General features: G+C 37.6%; 1 protein-coding gene across 34 annotated transcripts in view; it reads right to left on the bottom strand.

Annotated features, from left to right (window-relative positions):
* The window catches only part of TCF12 (transcription factor 12), a 373221-nt gene that overhangs the window by 71310 nt on the left and 285686 nt on the right, over positions 1–16225 (bottom strand). For 8 of the 34 annotated variants that reach the window (XM_047432975.1, XM_047432976.1, NM_001306219.3 and 5 more), the window contains exon 1: positions 411–571. The exons of the other annotated variants lie outside the window; for them this stretch is intronic. In XM_047432975.1, coding sequence (XP_047288931.1) covers positions 411–479 — 69 coding nt within the window. In that variant the 5' untranslated portion in view covers positions 480–571. Of the gene's footprint in view, positions 1–410; positions 572–16225 lie in introns of those variants that run through there. 34 annotated transcript variants of the gene reach the window in all.

The raw sequence follows: 16225 nt of genomic DNA, 5'->3' as shown, positions 1-16225 counted from the left end.
TAATTCCAGCATTTTGGGAGGCCGAGGCGGGTGGATCACCTGAGGTCAGGAGTTCGAGACCAGCCTGGCCAACATGATAAAACCGCGTCTCTACTAAAAATACAAAAATTAGCTGGGCATGGTGGCGGGTGCCTGTAATCCCAGCTACTCGGGAGGCTGAGGCGGGAGAATCGCTTGAACCCGGGAGGCGAAGGTTGCAGTGAGCCGAGATCGAGCCACTGCACTCCATCCTGGGTGACAGGGCAAGACTCCGTCCCCCCGCAAAAAAAAAAAAAAAAAAGAAATCTACAATCTAATACATTGCATAAAAGGATAAAACAAAACCTCACAGATTTTAGTAAAAAGCGAGTAATGTATACTGCTTTCCTTTAAACAAGTGAGTTAGAAGCTATACAAAGAAAAAGGCTTACCGTTTTCCCATTGTAGTAATACATCAAAGAATTGCTGCCCATTCCAGGGACAGGATAAGCACAATACATGTTGATTTTGAAAATGTTACTATTTGTAGCTAATGCACACAGCCTCTCTCCAAGACATATATCCACACAGGCAAAGGGAGTAAGTCTTCAGTACTATGCATTCACACATGGATCTACTCAAAAGGAACTTATGCAAAATAGGACTGAACCAACTCACAGAGCACAGAGGGAGGGTTTATGCTGTAAGTAACCTCTTTCAATTTCCATCAAGTCCTTGCATTGGTGGAGGATACCAATAAGACAAAATTTGAGGTATTAAAAAAATGCAAGTCACTTTTAAGCGCTAAATAAATATGCCCTGAATAAAAATAACCCAAGAAATTATTAGATTTGTCTCATATATACATATATACACACACAAAAGGAAGGCATACTGACAGATTTTCTGCTAATCTGTTTTTAGTTTTAATTAAATTAGAGCACTTGTGGCAGAGAAACCTAGCTTGCTACACCTCCAGCGTTACCATCTGCCATGGTCTAAAGTTGCTTCAACTTTGATAAACACATGATCAAGTAATCAGGAATTGGAAACACTGAATCATGTGTAACAAGAAGGATCTAGACAGTTAAATCTTGTACAAAATCACTTCCTGGAGAAAGCAGACCATCATGCAAATACCTCTTAACTAGCTAGAACAAACCATACTTTAAGCTACAAAAATTATGTTGAGGAAAACTGAAAGGAACACATTTTATTAAAAAGCTTAGTCCAAAAATCAGATAGATTATCTTGAAACTAAATTACCTGTTTTTAAAATGGAAACACTTAATAATACAGATTTTCAGTTATAAAGCTCCTTGAATTCTTCATACACAACACCAATCAAAAGTTTATAATGTCCTGCAATAGGACTGTTCTTAAAAAAAATTCACACATCTTTCATATAAAGTATGAGAGAATAAACTAAACAGTTTCCTATAAGTCTTTCCTCTAAGTTTATTATTGTTCTTAATACTTTGTATATTCATATTTTTATGCTAATGCTCACATTTCTCAGAAAGGAAAAATAAGAAGTGTGGGAATAAATGTCTTACAGACATTTCTAACTCATACTTCGAAGTCAAAAGGTTTTAAAAGTTGTCTACAAAAACATGTGTCTCTTACACAGACACGTTTTGCTATTTAAATGTTTTCCAATCAATCGTTTGCTGTAATTACAACCTGGAAAAACAGAATAGCAACTTTCCCTTTTTGTGTCATTTCCCTTCATCAAAACTTCTTTGTACTATCCTTCCCTCTATGCCTTGTAGGTTCTAACGGGATTGTATTAATCAGAGGAGAGCTCACAAGCTGCAAAAGGGGGCACATCACTTTTTTTAAAGGTACCTTTCATGAAGCAGAAATCCTCTGTGAAATATTCTAGGAATATACTATAAGGGACCCCCTATCCCCCCAACCTCATTTTTACTAACATATTGATCAAATTATAGTAACGAAACTAAATCAGACAATAAGGGCAACTAACTTCACAATGTTTTAAAAGCTGATAGTATTGGAACAACAATAAAACCTCCCCACACTCTCCAGATATAGAAAAGGCTAAGCAGCAGCTGCAAAAGAACATCGCTGTACAGCAGACTATTAAAATGCCAGTCTGCGGAGTGGTTTGTAACTTCCTCCCTCCTGAGAGACCACAAAGACCCATTTCAATCCTTGGAGAACTGTGTAAAAAGCTTTGATTCACAATTAACAATAGCATGCCTTAAAACCATTCAAGTAAATTTTAGTCTTCCATACACAGTCTTTCTCTACTGACAGATCGGCTACTCTCAAAACAAAAAAAAAGGAAAATCAAACAAAATCGAATCAAAATTTTCTTTTTCTATTAATTATTAAAAATAACACTTACTTTTCAATAGAAATTGAGGAGGAATAGGGAGAAGAGGGGAGCCACAAAGCACTGACAATACTTCAACATTTTTATAATCATCGCTTCAATCTGAGAAAACTTTCTTATATTGGTTAAAAAACATCCACCTATGACAGTTAAGCCCATTTCCCTGATGCCGGGCAGAAAACAGAGAGGGTACTTACTATGTTGTTTGATAAAACAAACATCATAATGTAAACCCAACTAAGCAACCTTGGTTATTAAAGCACAATGAAAATTTTAATATTTTAACACCAGTTCTTTATTTTAGAGGCAATTATATGATAATCTGAAGAGAATAAACATACATTCAGATAAAAAAGAAATTCACTGTAAAAGCCAAATAGTATAATCAAATTTCTTTAATGGAAAAAAACACAGTTACTTTTGCACAAACCTAATCAGTTTATTAAACACCTAAGTAAGATTTAGTGTTAAACATGAAACCTGAATGTGAAACATAATTTGTAAAGAGAGTTGAGTAACTAATTAAAAGCTTTTGCTTCTACTTTTCATTGTTCTCCTAAAAAACATAAATATAAAACTCGTACATGTGTAGGTAAGACCTCCCCTGCCAATACAAACCGTAGTCACTTGGTATACACTACTGCCTAAATTGAGCATAGATATAAAAACTTAAAAAAACAACAACAACAAAACTCTATGCCTGTATCTATAATTATATGATATTAAAATCTCATTCTTCAAAAACAGTAAATCATCAACAAAACTGGTGGTAATCTACATAAAATGCCCCTATATTCTACTTGTATGCTATGGAAAAGTCTTTTAAGTTTGTCGCTCCAAAACAGCATTTTTCTTGAAGTCTGCCTTACCCCCCAAAAAACTAAAACTGTTTGATGTAGATGGTCATTGCTTGATTGCCATTATAAATTATCTTGTATAATAAAATCTTTTTTTCTCTGCTCCCAATTTTTTAAAAATTAATTTAATCTATGCAACAGCTGTAGCACAATTTCTTGTCCTAAGGAGAATCATATTACAGGAAAAAAATGCATATAGATGGATCAAGTGCTGCTTTAGTAAATGCAGTTGTTTAATCTTTGCTTTTTTTTTTTTTTTTTTTAAAGGAACATGTCAAGGGTTAATCCTATGACTCAGTCTGACAAAACGAGTCAGCTGGAGACAGGGCCAATTTTTAAACCTGATTTCAGACAGGCTGCCTGCACAGTAGTTCTGAACTGTCATGCACTTTTTATCCAGAATTGTTTCCACCCACAACGCTACATAATCACTTATGTGTTACTCTAAGATTATGTGATCTGACTCAATATTCATGTCACCTAGTTCAACAATATAAAAAAATCACCAAGTTTTACAGCAAGATAGGAATCATTGTACACACTAGCAAAATGACTAGTGAAAATGCCAGAGGACCCTGACAAAATACGTAACTTGGAGCCATATACCTTTTATTAGCAAACTGATGATTCCTGGTTTAAAGATTATTGCATTTCACCAATTTTCAAATATGGCTTTTCCTCCCAAATGTTATCAGGATGTTATGTTTGCTGCTATTCCAGTAGTCATTAAGCACAGACCTAAACTAGGCAAGAAAAAGCCATAACGTGCTTTGCCTAAACAAGTTACTTCTTTACTGACGATATAGGAAAAGATGTTTTCAAAAAGTCTACCAAGTAAGAGCTCTCTGGAAACTTCAGTTTAAATTCCAGGCTTCCAGGCAAAATTTCCCTCTTCCATCTTACTTTTCTGTTGATTGGGAAACAGATCTTCCTTGGAGAGCTATATAAAATTTCTTAGAGTTATCCACGCAGTATTTTTATCTACTTTATTAGCTCATTTTTATCCTGATATTTGGATCACTACAACAGTTATAGCTATTTTTAAATGATCCGTAAGCAAGAATGTTTCTAAAGGTAACACAAAATTCTAAATAGTTTTGGAAAGAAAATTTTTAATTGAAGTGAATTATGTATCTTGAATTAGTTAACATAGGCCAGTTAGTGGTTAATCTTACTGTATATTCTTCTAAAACAAACAGGCAACATTCCACTGTCCCAAAAGCCAGAAGATCTGGCTGGAAAAGTAAACCTAAAACCCACTCATAATATTCCTCACGAAAAGTTTCAACATTATTTCTAAGTGAATCAAATCTTGGAAAACAGACTTTCAGAGTAATAAATGAAGCCAAACTTAAAAGCTGACACATGAATAACTCCACGAATGAACACTATATTTTCCTAAAGGATGAACTCGGTAAGTAATAAATTATTGGCTGCAAGGGAGGTAGGGGTGAGGATAGATTTAAGAGGATAGTGAGAGAATCTGCAACTGAACAAATTCAAAGCAAAAGAACCTTCCCCAATGCCTCTTCTTCCTCATCTACCTTGTAAAGAGATGACATGTGAGTGAATGCTGTCTCTCAAATGTGCAGTATTTTAGTTAGCCTTGCTAATTAAGTCAGACATCAAAATTCCAGGTTTTATATCTGAACATTATATTGCAGACTTCTCTGGTAGTATATGCTACTTTGTAAATATGTTCAGAAAGTTGTTATTCTGGTTTTTCTAATATCCTCACATTTTAGAAAATTTACTTCTGCAAGAAAGAAATCAAGAATATAAAACTCCAGTGAAATAATGCATCATTTTCAAACCAATCCACTAGCATTCAATGCATATTATTTAAAGTTAATAGTGTTATTGATCTAAAATCAATAGTGCATCTTTTAATTCAACAATCACTCCCATCTTGCTGATAACCCAGTCTATCAGTAAAAAGCCTTCTAATTACTATCTTTCCACTGTATGAAAATCTTAAAAATCAAAGACTTGATTTTTGTGATCTTTACTCAAGTGGCACTCCATGAAAAAAACTGTTCCAATTAAGCCTCAATTGTGATTACCAAAATCTTAACCAAACCAATAACCAGTGGATATTAAAGATTAGTCTGAGTACTGGTAAATAACTTATTTGGATATCAACACATATAAATATACACTTCTCAACACAATGTAAAGACACATGCTAAAATTCATAAAATAGCGTCTGTCTCAGATACAGGATATCAGATGTCATACTGTTTCTTTACAAATATCTCAAGTCTAAATTGAGTTTTAGAAATGCTTAATGATTAACAAAACAGAAAACACCTACCTATATAGCCAATGGAAACAATCACCTCTGTAAACTGCATTTTTAAGGCAAAAGAACAATTAATTTCCTTTTGACAACCATACGACTATAATGAGGATATGTAAAAACAGCCATACCTCCTGGAGAAGAAAGCAAATAAATCTCTTTCTGAGGTGAATAAATTGTATCCCTCCGACATCAACATGAACAGAACTGACAGATCATACAAAGCTTCTAAAAGGCAATCATTAGATAACCCTTCAAATGAGACAGAACTATATAATTACTGAGAATATGTAAAATCTGAAGCAAATTGCACGTTTCTTTTGATCACAAACTCACAACGACAAAGCAGTTTTCTTTGAAAAATTAAAGAGGGGGGGTCCCCCTGCCCCTGCATCTCTTGGCTGTCCCTTTCTTTCCCCTTTCCTTCCCTACGTGAATTGCAGTTTGTCACTTCTCATTTACCACTTGAAGTAACACAGTAAGAGAATCATTAACTATGTTGCAACTTGATAATTTTCCTGCAGATGGCTCCATAATCAAAGGACTGCCTAAAGGTGTGTGTATGCACACATTAAAAAAAACAATGAGGATGACCCTCAGGTTTTTAAATTCCTTAAGAAACCAGCACTTCTGAAGAGCTTTCAAGACTGACACAAGGCTTTGCGCTATTGACTCGTTAGGCAATCTAACAACAAAACAAAACTGTAGGCAAACAAAGCTATCATTCAAAATCATCTGTAAAGCTAAATAATTTTTGTGAACATGATGTCTTGGGTCAAATTAGCTGTCTCTTAAAGAAAGTGCCACCCGTTTTTTTGTTTCTTCTTTTGGCCTGTGCGATTTTTTTTTCTTCTGAACTGGAAGACATCAGATCCTTTCAATTTATGAGAAATGGAACAGCACCAAGATATTCTATTCTATTTTAAATTCATTTTTTAAAAGACCAGAAGTTAACATCTGCATCTTAGCCCAGAACCATTTCAAAAATCTGCAATCCAAAGCTGTAAGTAACTTATACATTAAGTTATTTTTTGGTCCCCAATCTATATTTTTGTTTCAGTAAAAATTCTTGCTAGTGGTAGTAATTTTTTAATACTTCTTGCCTCTAAATAAATGTTGAGTCTACCAAAACATCCTCCCTCACATTTGTGACAATAAAGTAAAAAAGCAAAGCTAATTTTTGCTATATTCACTGGAAGAAATCATACAGATCTTGAATTTATGAAAAGACGTATCTTTTAAGAATGGTTTCTTATTAGTAAATTCTGGTGACCATTCTTAACAAAAGCCAAAAAATACTTCACTTTGAAAAGACATCTAAGAAGAGTGACATCAACAGGGAAAAAGATGGGAAATGGTGTCAGTCATACATTTTCAACAAAGAACAACGCAAAACAAGCAGTGCTTGACCAGTATTTGGTTATGCTTCACTATTCCTAACAATGACAAGTGTCCCTAAACAGACACTGGGAAACAGATATAAAACTTGGAAGAAATTTGTTAAGCTACTTGTTCTATGTAGCAGTAGCACATGTGTATGCAGTAGGGCAGAAGTATTCTCCCTATCATTCATTAGTATTCTATGTAATATAAGATGGGCTACTCAGGTCCCAGAAAACTGTGGAGTTATATCATGTAACGCGAAAGAGCACTAAACTGGGAGTCAGGAGACAGGGATCCAGGTTTCAGCTCTGCCTCTCAGGAGGCAAGAGAGCTTAGGGTAGGTCGTTGACTCTCCCTGAGCCTAATTTTCCATTTCTGTAAAATGCAGGCATTAAACCATTAAACTAGGCCAAAGACTTCCTAGCCATTTCACCACTAATAAAACATTTTATTATGCACTCCACCCCAAAACTCTGAATTCCTATTTTGAAAGATTTTTGTCTCTCAGACTCTTTTTTTAAAATTCCATTATGATAAATATTTTTCTCTCTTAAAAGGAAAAATCAAGGCAGGGTATGGTGGCTCATGCCTGTAATACTACCACTTTGGGAGGCCAAGGTGGGAAGATCCCTTGAACCCAGGAGTTTGAGACCAGCCTGGGCAACATGGCAAGACCTGTCTCTACAAAAAGTTAAAAAATTCACTGGGTGGTGTGCACCTGTAATCCCAGCTACCTAGGAGACTGAGGTGGGAGGATCGCTTCAGCCCAGGAGTTCATGCCTGCAGTGAGCTATGATTGTGCCACTGTACTCTAGCGAGGGTGACAGAGAGAGACCGTCTCTAGAAAAACAACAACAACAACAAATGAACAAAAGCAAAAAAGAAAACTCAAAGCCATGTAACTGCAGTTCAGAACTTCAGATTAAAAGGTAAATGAAGCATTGCCATACTGAGTTGAAATAATTCCAGTGAAAGAAACCTGATGTTTAATTACCATTTTATTTTGGTAAAGTATAGAATCCACAGAATTTGTTAGGTTTTTCTGATGTATTTTGAATCTTGTTGTATTCAAGATTCAAGATTCAAGCTGTGATCCACTGGCATAGATGATACCAGGTGTCCACACCAATCTTAAAGTGTGTGTGTGTGTGTGTGTGTGTGTGTGGTGTGTGTGTGTGCGTGTGTGTGTATGTCTCAAAGTCCTGCTTTGTTGCCCAGGCTGGAGTGCACTGGTGCAATCTTGGCTCACTGCAACCTCCACCTCCCGGGCTCAAGCCATTCTCATGCCTAAGCCTCCAGAGTAGCTGGGATTACAGGCGTGTGCTACCACACCCTGCTAAGTTTTGTATTTTTAGTAGAGACAGGGTTTCGCCATGTTGGCCAGGCTGGTCTTGAACTCCTGGCCTCAAGCGATCTGCCAGCCTCGACTTCCCAAAGTGCTGAGATTACAGGCATGGGCCACCATGCCCAGCCTTAAATTGTATTTTTATAATCATACCTGCAAGAGGCATAATTAAAAGTCTAAACCCTCACAGGAAATGAAAGGCTGAACCAAAAAAGGAATTTGAAAACATAATTACAACTTCTCAGTTCTAAGACAAGAGTCCAAAAGCTTTGTATTCTAATAACATTTATGCCAGCAAATGAAGTATCTAAAAGGCTAGTTATATATAACTCCATTGCCTAGTAATATGTTCATTTAAAACCATAATCTTTCTTTTTTCTTTTTATTTTTAAAGTATAATTGACACAAGGTCTCACTTTGTTGCCCAGCCTGGTCTTGAACTCTTGGGCTCAAGCAATCCTCCCACCTCAGCCTCCCAAAGTGCTAGTATTAGAAGCGTGGGCCACTGCTCCCTGCTCCCTGCCCTATCAACTTTATCTTGAACAAAATAGTAAAACAAAATAAAGAAAAGCAGTGACATCCTACCGATAGATAACAACTCTTACCTAACTTTGTCATTGTTTAATTTACTCAATAACAATTTTGGTTTCTCAATAATGTGCAAGTTAATCTACAAGTCAGATATTTCATGGTGAATACAGCATCACCTGGAAAACAAAACATTTATGGCTATGCCCTTCAAATAATATACAATCTCCTCCAGGGATGGCTTTGTTATAATTTTAGCACGCAACACAGAGTTAAGGAGTCAATATGGGAGCTCATCTTAAGTAAGTGGGCTGAGGCTCCTGCACTATTCTGTAATAAAGATGCAGTGCCCATCTATGACTTGTTTCTTTGCTCCTTTTGGCTGGAGAATTTAGTAGAGCAGTAAACAGGACTATTATACACAAATGTGGCTGTAGTGAGTATGTAGGTTGGAAAGTTTACAGGATAAAGTAAGGGAGTAAAGAGTGAAAAACGGGTGGCAACACTACAGTAACTTTATAGGTGCGCGATCTTGAGGACGCTTCCTTGCCATAACACTGGTGATTTCAGACTGAAATGGTTGTTATATAAAAAAGGTTCAAACTGTATTACTGTTGTTAAAATGGGAATAAAGATTATATGAATAAAAGAACACGATACTCTAATGCTAAGACCTCACATTGGAAAACAAATGCATGACTTCCTAGCTCTCATCTAATTCCTATCTAATAATTCCTATCTAACCAAGGGGCACACTGTCCATGTAAATAGAAATAACTACAGTGTTCTTTGCTGCTGAAAAGACTTTTAGTTTTCTGATGAAAACCTGGAGCTCTCTCTTTTCCTCCCTGAAAAGTGTTTACAAAGTTTAAGCATGTTAGATGTTTTATAATACAGTGAGTTAAAACATACAGTTATGTAGCTATCTTTCTCCTGAAGATAATTTAGATTATCTAGTATGTAGCTCATACCTTGTCTGAGTCAGCTAAGCATGGTCTAGAAAGAAGAGCTATGGCTGTATTGCTAATCATTTGCCTTTGTTCATTTATTCAACAAATAGTTATTAAGTATCTGTTATGCACCTCTGTGCTGCAGGTGCAATAAACAACATAAATAAAATCCCTGCTTTATTATGTTGCTCCTGGGTAACACAGATAAAGAATAAACGAATTAGGCCATATCAGATTGTATGAAGTACTGTAGAGAAAAATACATCAGGAAAAGAGTGAGGAGGTACTAGGGGTATGTTGCCCTTTTATATAGGATGGTCACAAAAGATCTTCATTGACAGTGTGATATGACATCAAAGAGAAAACTAGCCATTTGGATACGAGGGAAAGTGTGTTCCATAAACTGCAAATGCAAAGGCCCTGAGGTAGGAGTGTGCTTGACATCTTTAAGAAGCAGTAAAAAGGAGAGTATGGCTAGAGTGAAGTAAGGGAGGGGCAGAGTGGTAGAAGATGAAGTCTGAAAGGTGGCAGGTGTCTTATAAGCCATTTTAAAGATGTTGGTTTTATAATAAGGGAAGCTACTGGAGGATTTTAAGCAGAGGAGTATATGATCTGACCTAGATTTTAAAAGGATGTTCCTGTGTCTAAAAATAAAAACAAAATAAAACTGGAAGACCAGTTATAAAGCTGTTGCCATAATTTAAGAAAGAGGTAAAGGTGGTTTAGACAAAGATGATAGCTACACAGGTGACCACGAATGGTTAAATTCTTGAAGAGAATTCTAGTAAGAGAAATATAAGACTGTCCTCTGTTTCAAATTTATGTCAATGAAACCGTAACTTATTTCCTTTAGAAAAATAATTCCTGTATTGTTGTTTTCCATACTTTTCTTTCGCGTGAGGACCATGGCCCTATATTTTTAATTAGGTCATCCTAAAACAATGTAGAATTAATGCTGATGGCTGAATTACCTGTAATTTTCCTGCTTTCTGTTTTGGTTTTGGTAAAATGCTCCTATTTTGGTAACTAGGAATTAACTGCATAATTGAAGGGAGAAATGGGACATATAATTCAGTTTCTTATACAAAGAAGGCCAGTTAACATATTGAAGGTTTGAACAATCAGAGAAGTAAGTTAAAAAGTACAGCTTAGAGCAGGAAGTCATTAACAGGTGATGTTTCCTATTATAGATACATAAAATAATGGCCTTGTAGTCCTTATTTTTATCCCTTTAATTCAAAAAGCATTTCCTAAATACTACATCATGTGCCTGGTGAACAACAATTATGCAACAAAAAACATTTTGGGCTGGCCGCAGTGACTCACACCTGTAATCCCAGCACTTTGGGAGGCCAAGATGGGAGGATCACTTGAGGCCAGGAGTTTGAGACCAACCCTGGCAACACAGCAAAACCTCTTTTCTACAAAAAATAGAAAATGTAGCCAGGTGTAGTGGCATGTGCCTGTAGTCCCAGTTACTCAGGAGGCTGAGGTGGGAGGACTGCCTCTCTGCTTGAGCCCAGGAGTTTGAGGCCGCAGCGAGCTATGATGGCACCACTGTACTCCAGCCTGGACCACAGACTGAATTCCTGTTTCAAAAGAAAAAAAAAAATTTTTTTTTAAGTTCTTTCTTTCCAGGCTGGGTGCAGTGGCTCACGCATGTAATCCCAGGACTTTGGGAGGCCAAGGTGGGTGGATCGCTTGAGTCCAGGAGTTCGAGACCTGCCTGGGCAACAAGATGAAACCCTGTTTCTACAAAAAAAATACAAAAATTAGCCAGTTGTGGTGGCACTTGCCTGTAGTTCCAGCTACTCGGGAGGCTGAGGTGTGAGGATCACTTGAGCCCAGGAGGTGGAGGTTGCAGTGAGCCAAGATTATGCCACTGCACTCCAGCCTGGGTGACAGAGTGAGACTCTGTCTCCAAAAAAAAAAAAAAAAAAAGGATATTTTTGTCCAAAGAACAAGGTTATCTTTTGACTATAAGAATCTTGGCCAGGGGCGGTGGCTCACAACTGTAATCCCAGCACTTTGGGAGGCTGAGGCGGGTGGATCACGAGGTCAGGAGTTCAAGACCAGCCTGGCCAAGATGGTGAAACCCGTCTCTACTAAAATTACAAAAAAATTAGCTGGGTGTGGTGGCAGATGCCTGCAATCCCAGCTACTCAGGAGGCTGAGGCAGAGATTTGCTTGAACCCGGGAGGTGGAAGTTGCAGTGAGCCAAGATCGCACCACTGTACTCCAGCCTGAGCGACTGAGCAATACTCTGTCTTTAAAAAAAAAAAAAAAAAGAATCTTGAAGTCAGGGTCCATATTTTATTCATATTTAAATCCCTAAAGTCTAAAATAGTTCTTCATTCACGATAAGGACTTAGTATATATTTGTTGATTTTGACAGAAGGGATTCATATTCTCCTGACTGGGAATCTACTAGATGGAGCCCATACTAGTAGCAAATAAGTTTTCTAAATCTCATTTAAGTTACTGATTTTTGAAATTTTAAAATATCTTTTGTGTTACTGGAGAAGATACTGAAAATCATGATTTCAAATAATGATGAGTTTGACAGTTTAAAAAATTGTCAAGCTCAAGTCAGAAAACTTGAAGTTTTCTTAGTTCTTACTTATTATTTTTGTTGTTGTTTTTTGAGACGGAGTTTTACTTTTGTTGCCCAGGCTGGAGTGCAATGGTGTGATCTTTATCTCGGCTCACTGCAACCTCCACCTCCTGGGTTCAAGTGATTCTCCTGCCTCAGCCTCCCAAGTAGCTGGGATTACAGGCATGCCCCACCATGCCTGGCTAATTTTTGTATTTTTAGTAGAGATGAGGTTTCACCATGTTGGTCAGACTGGCCTCAAACTCCTGACCTTAAGTGATCCGCCTGCCTTGGCCTCCCAAAATACTGGGATTACTACAGGCGTTAAGCCACCGCGCCCGGCCTATTTATTATTTATTATTAATACTAGCCTCATAAAAGCAAAAAGGAAACTAAGAACCATATAAAATTTACTTAGATTCATAGGGATTAACATTGAAAAAATGAATTTTCTAGGGATGGAAGATATTCTTAATTTTTGTATGAAGGTTTTATGTTTAGACCAGAAACATGACACATGATTCAAAAGAATTGGTTTCACAGTCACACTTGGGTTGGAACCGATTCCCAAGCTGCCAGCAACTATCTTTAACTTTAGGTTCCTCTGTTTTTTGTTTTTTTGGGGACAGGGTCTTGTTCTGTTACCCAGGTTGGAGTGTAGTGGTGTGATCACAGCTCACTACAGCCTGAAACTCCCAGGCTTAAGCCATCCCTCCAACCTTAGCCTCCTGAGTACCTAGTACTACAGGCACACACTACCACGACCAATTTTTTTTTTCCTTTTCTTTTTTTTTTTTTTCTGTAGAGACAGGGTCTTGCTATGTTGCCTAGGCTGGTCTTGAACTTCTAGGCTCAAACACTCCTCCCATCTTGGCCTCCCAAACTGCTGGGCACTATGGCCCAGCTTTAGGTTCTATCAGAAAGTTGGAACAGGAAAAAAAATGGTGATTGGCACAAATATATCTAAGTTTAAGTTAAGTGTCTGTAATACAATAAACTCTCCACCTCCTGGGTTCAAGTGATTTTCCTGCCTCAGCCTTCCGAGTACAGGAGGTGGAGGATGCAGTGAGCTGAGATCGTGCCACTGCACTCCAGCCTGGGCAACAGAGCGAGACTGTCTCAGAAAAAAAAAAAAAAAAAAAAAAAGAGAATACAAGGTAGTGGATCTTAATAAAACCAAGAATCAGGACTAAGAAGTATTTAATTTTATTTTTAACTCTTTAGGTCTGTTTTTCACTGGAACTACATTTACCTTTTCTTTAAATCTAGTGCAGGTTGGCAAACTTCTATTTTCATAAATAAAGCTTTATTTATTTTCATAAATAAAGTTTTATAAAGTGTCTGTCAGTACAGGTGTGCACCACCATGCCCGGCTAATTTTTGTATTTTTAGTAGAGAAGGGGTTTCACTATGTTGGCCAGGCTGGTCTCAAACTTCTGAGCTAGTGATCTGCCTGCCTCGGCCTCCCAAAGCACTGGGATTACAGGCATAAGCCATCACGCCTGGCCTCATTACCTTGTATTCTTTAGTGCCTTAAGACCCTGGGCACTGGGCCAGAGTTTATTGTATTGACAGACTAAGGCATTTACATAATTCAACCATATAGCCTTTAAAAACCATATGAGTTACAAACATGCACACATACTGGGCTTTATCCTACATCTGCTTTGTGAAGTCTCTAAGATCTTACCAGCAGCCAAAGAGTTCAATAAACCTTAAAAGCTACCTGTAAATGAAATGCAGCCATGTTCTTCTTTTAAAAGGAATAGAGAAGTCAGAAAATAACAATAACAAGTATCACTGTATACAGCCATATCAGTACAACTGGATCCATAGGACTCACTCACTGGTTACTTTTCCTTCTGCTTTTTGGTTTGAAATTACATCAAAGACATTACCGACTTCTCACAAAAATCAACATCTTAGAACTACACATTAAAGGCTATTAATTCTGACACTGTTCTGAACAGTGGTTACTGTCAGCATAAACAGTGGCTACTTCTTATTAATGTATGAAAAAAATCTTTCACTTAACGACTAAACTGAATATAAGTTTGGAATGGATTAAAGGATAATCCACTTACGTACTTTACATACAAAGATTTTTCTGCTAGTCTGACCTGTAAGGTCAGAGACTGAATAAGCCACTTTGGAAATTTTGTATCACAGTAGCCTTCAAATAGAGATACCTCATCTAACAGCCCGAAACTCTTAAGTATATACAGTTGTTGTGTGTTCTCTATGCTGTTTGCCCAAGGAACTAAGCAAATACCTATTCTAACTCATGTTCAAGATCTGGAGGGTTTACTCATGAAGTTCAGCAAAAGCTGGTACTTTATGTAAATACTATTTATTCCAGAATCAGTAGATTTCTTGCTAGTCTTAAGGGCCTTGGATAATTGTTTGTTTTTATTTTTATTTTTTTTAAGACAGGGTCTCAGTCTGTCACCCAGGCTGGAGTGCAGTGGCGTGATCCTGGCTCACTGCAATCTCAACCTCTAGGGTTCAAGCAACGCTCTCTCAGAGTAGCTGGGACTATAGGCACACAACACCATGCCAGCTAATTTTTGTATTTCTTTATAGAGGCGGGGTTCCATTATGTTGGCTAGGCAGATCTCGAACTCCTGGGCTCAAGTGATCTGCCCGCCTCCACCTCCCAAAGTTTTGGGATTATAGGTGAGAGCCACTGCGCCTGGCCGGGCCGGATAATTGCCTATAAACACACTCTGTTATCTTGGCTTCCTAGTGACTTCCATACGACTCTACTCACAGAGTATTTTTCTTGCTGCTCATCTTACTATTTTCATGGATAAATTGGAGCTATCAGTTTCTCTATAGTTCTAACTCTTGACCTTTTTCTTACTGGTTCAGATGGCTAGCAAGCTCTTAAATCATAGTTTTAAAATTATTCATTTCCACCCATCCCAGAAAGTTCTGTTTGTCATCTCTTTCCTATTAAAAAAAAAAATCTTCAGTTTAGACACCCTCAGGATTTAGTATTTTTTTCTTTTGAATATTCTTATTCTACTTAGTATGTATAGCAGCACGCTAGATTATTAGACATGGTCTAGCAGTCTTTATGGTTTGGGAATACCTCAGGATATTTCCAATTGTCTCAAAAGGTATCCCTACAATTTCAAATTTACGATAACAAATGACTAAAAATTCACATTTTTTTAAAAAGAGCCATTCCCAACAAAATGAAATTCCATAAAAACTTTAGGAGAAAGAAAGGCACCACTTTCTTACCTCTTTTCTTTTTCTTTTTTTTTGAGACAGAGTCTTGGCTCTGTCACCCAGGCTGGAGTGCAGTGGTGAAATCACAGCCCACTGCAGCCTTGAACTCTTTCAGGAGTATCAAGAGATACTCCTGCCTTAGCATCTCAAGTAGGTGAGACCACAGGCACATGCCACCATACCTGGACAGTTTTTTAAAATATTTTTTTGTGTGTGTGTGTGCAGACAAGGTCTCACTATGTGGCCTAGGCTGGTCTCAAACTCCTGGATTCAGGGGATACTCCCACCTTGGCCTCCCAAAGTGCTGGGATTACGTGAGCCACTATGCCTGGCCTCATCACTTTCTAAATTACAGTCAGTGACTAATTCAAGGGCCACTGAACTTTGTAACTGTCTGCATCAAACCAAGAAAAAGTAGAGTCTAAGCTGTTTTGATTCATGTCAGAAACAATAAAGCTCCTTATAGTGGTGGAGAAGAGCTAGCAAATTTTTATTTGCAGGCAGACTCTTCCTCTGTCACCCAGGCTGGAGTGCAATGGAGTGAACATGGTGGGCTCAAGTGATCCTCCCACTTTAGCCTCCGAAGGAGACAGAACCACAGGGGGTGCCAATCACACCTGGCTAATTTTTTTGCAGTGACAGGGTCTCACTAGGTTGCTCAGGCTGGTCTTGAACTCTTGGGCTCAAGTGATCCTCCTGCCTTGGGACTACAGCCA

Source organism: Homo sapiens, chromosome 15 (assembly GCF_000001405.40).
Source record: "Homo sapiens chromosome 15, GRCh38.p14 Primary Assembly".
Classification (NCBI taxonomy): Eukaryota; Metazoa; Chordata; class Mammalia; order Primates; family Hominidae; genus Homo; species Homo sapiens.
This window is presented reverse-complemented; position numbering and strand designations above follow the sequence as displayed.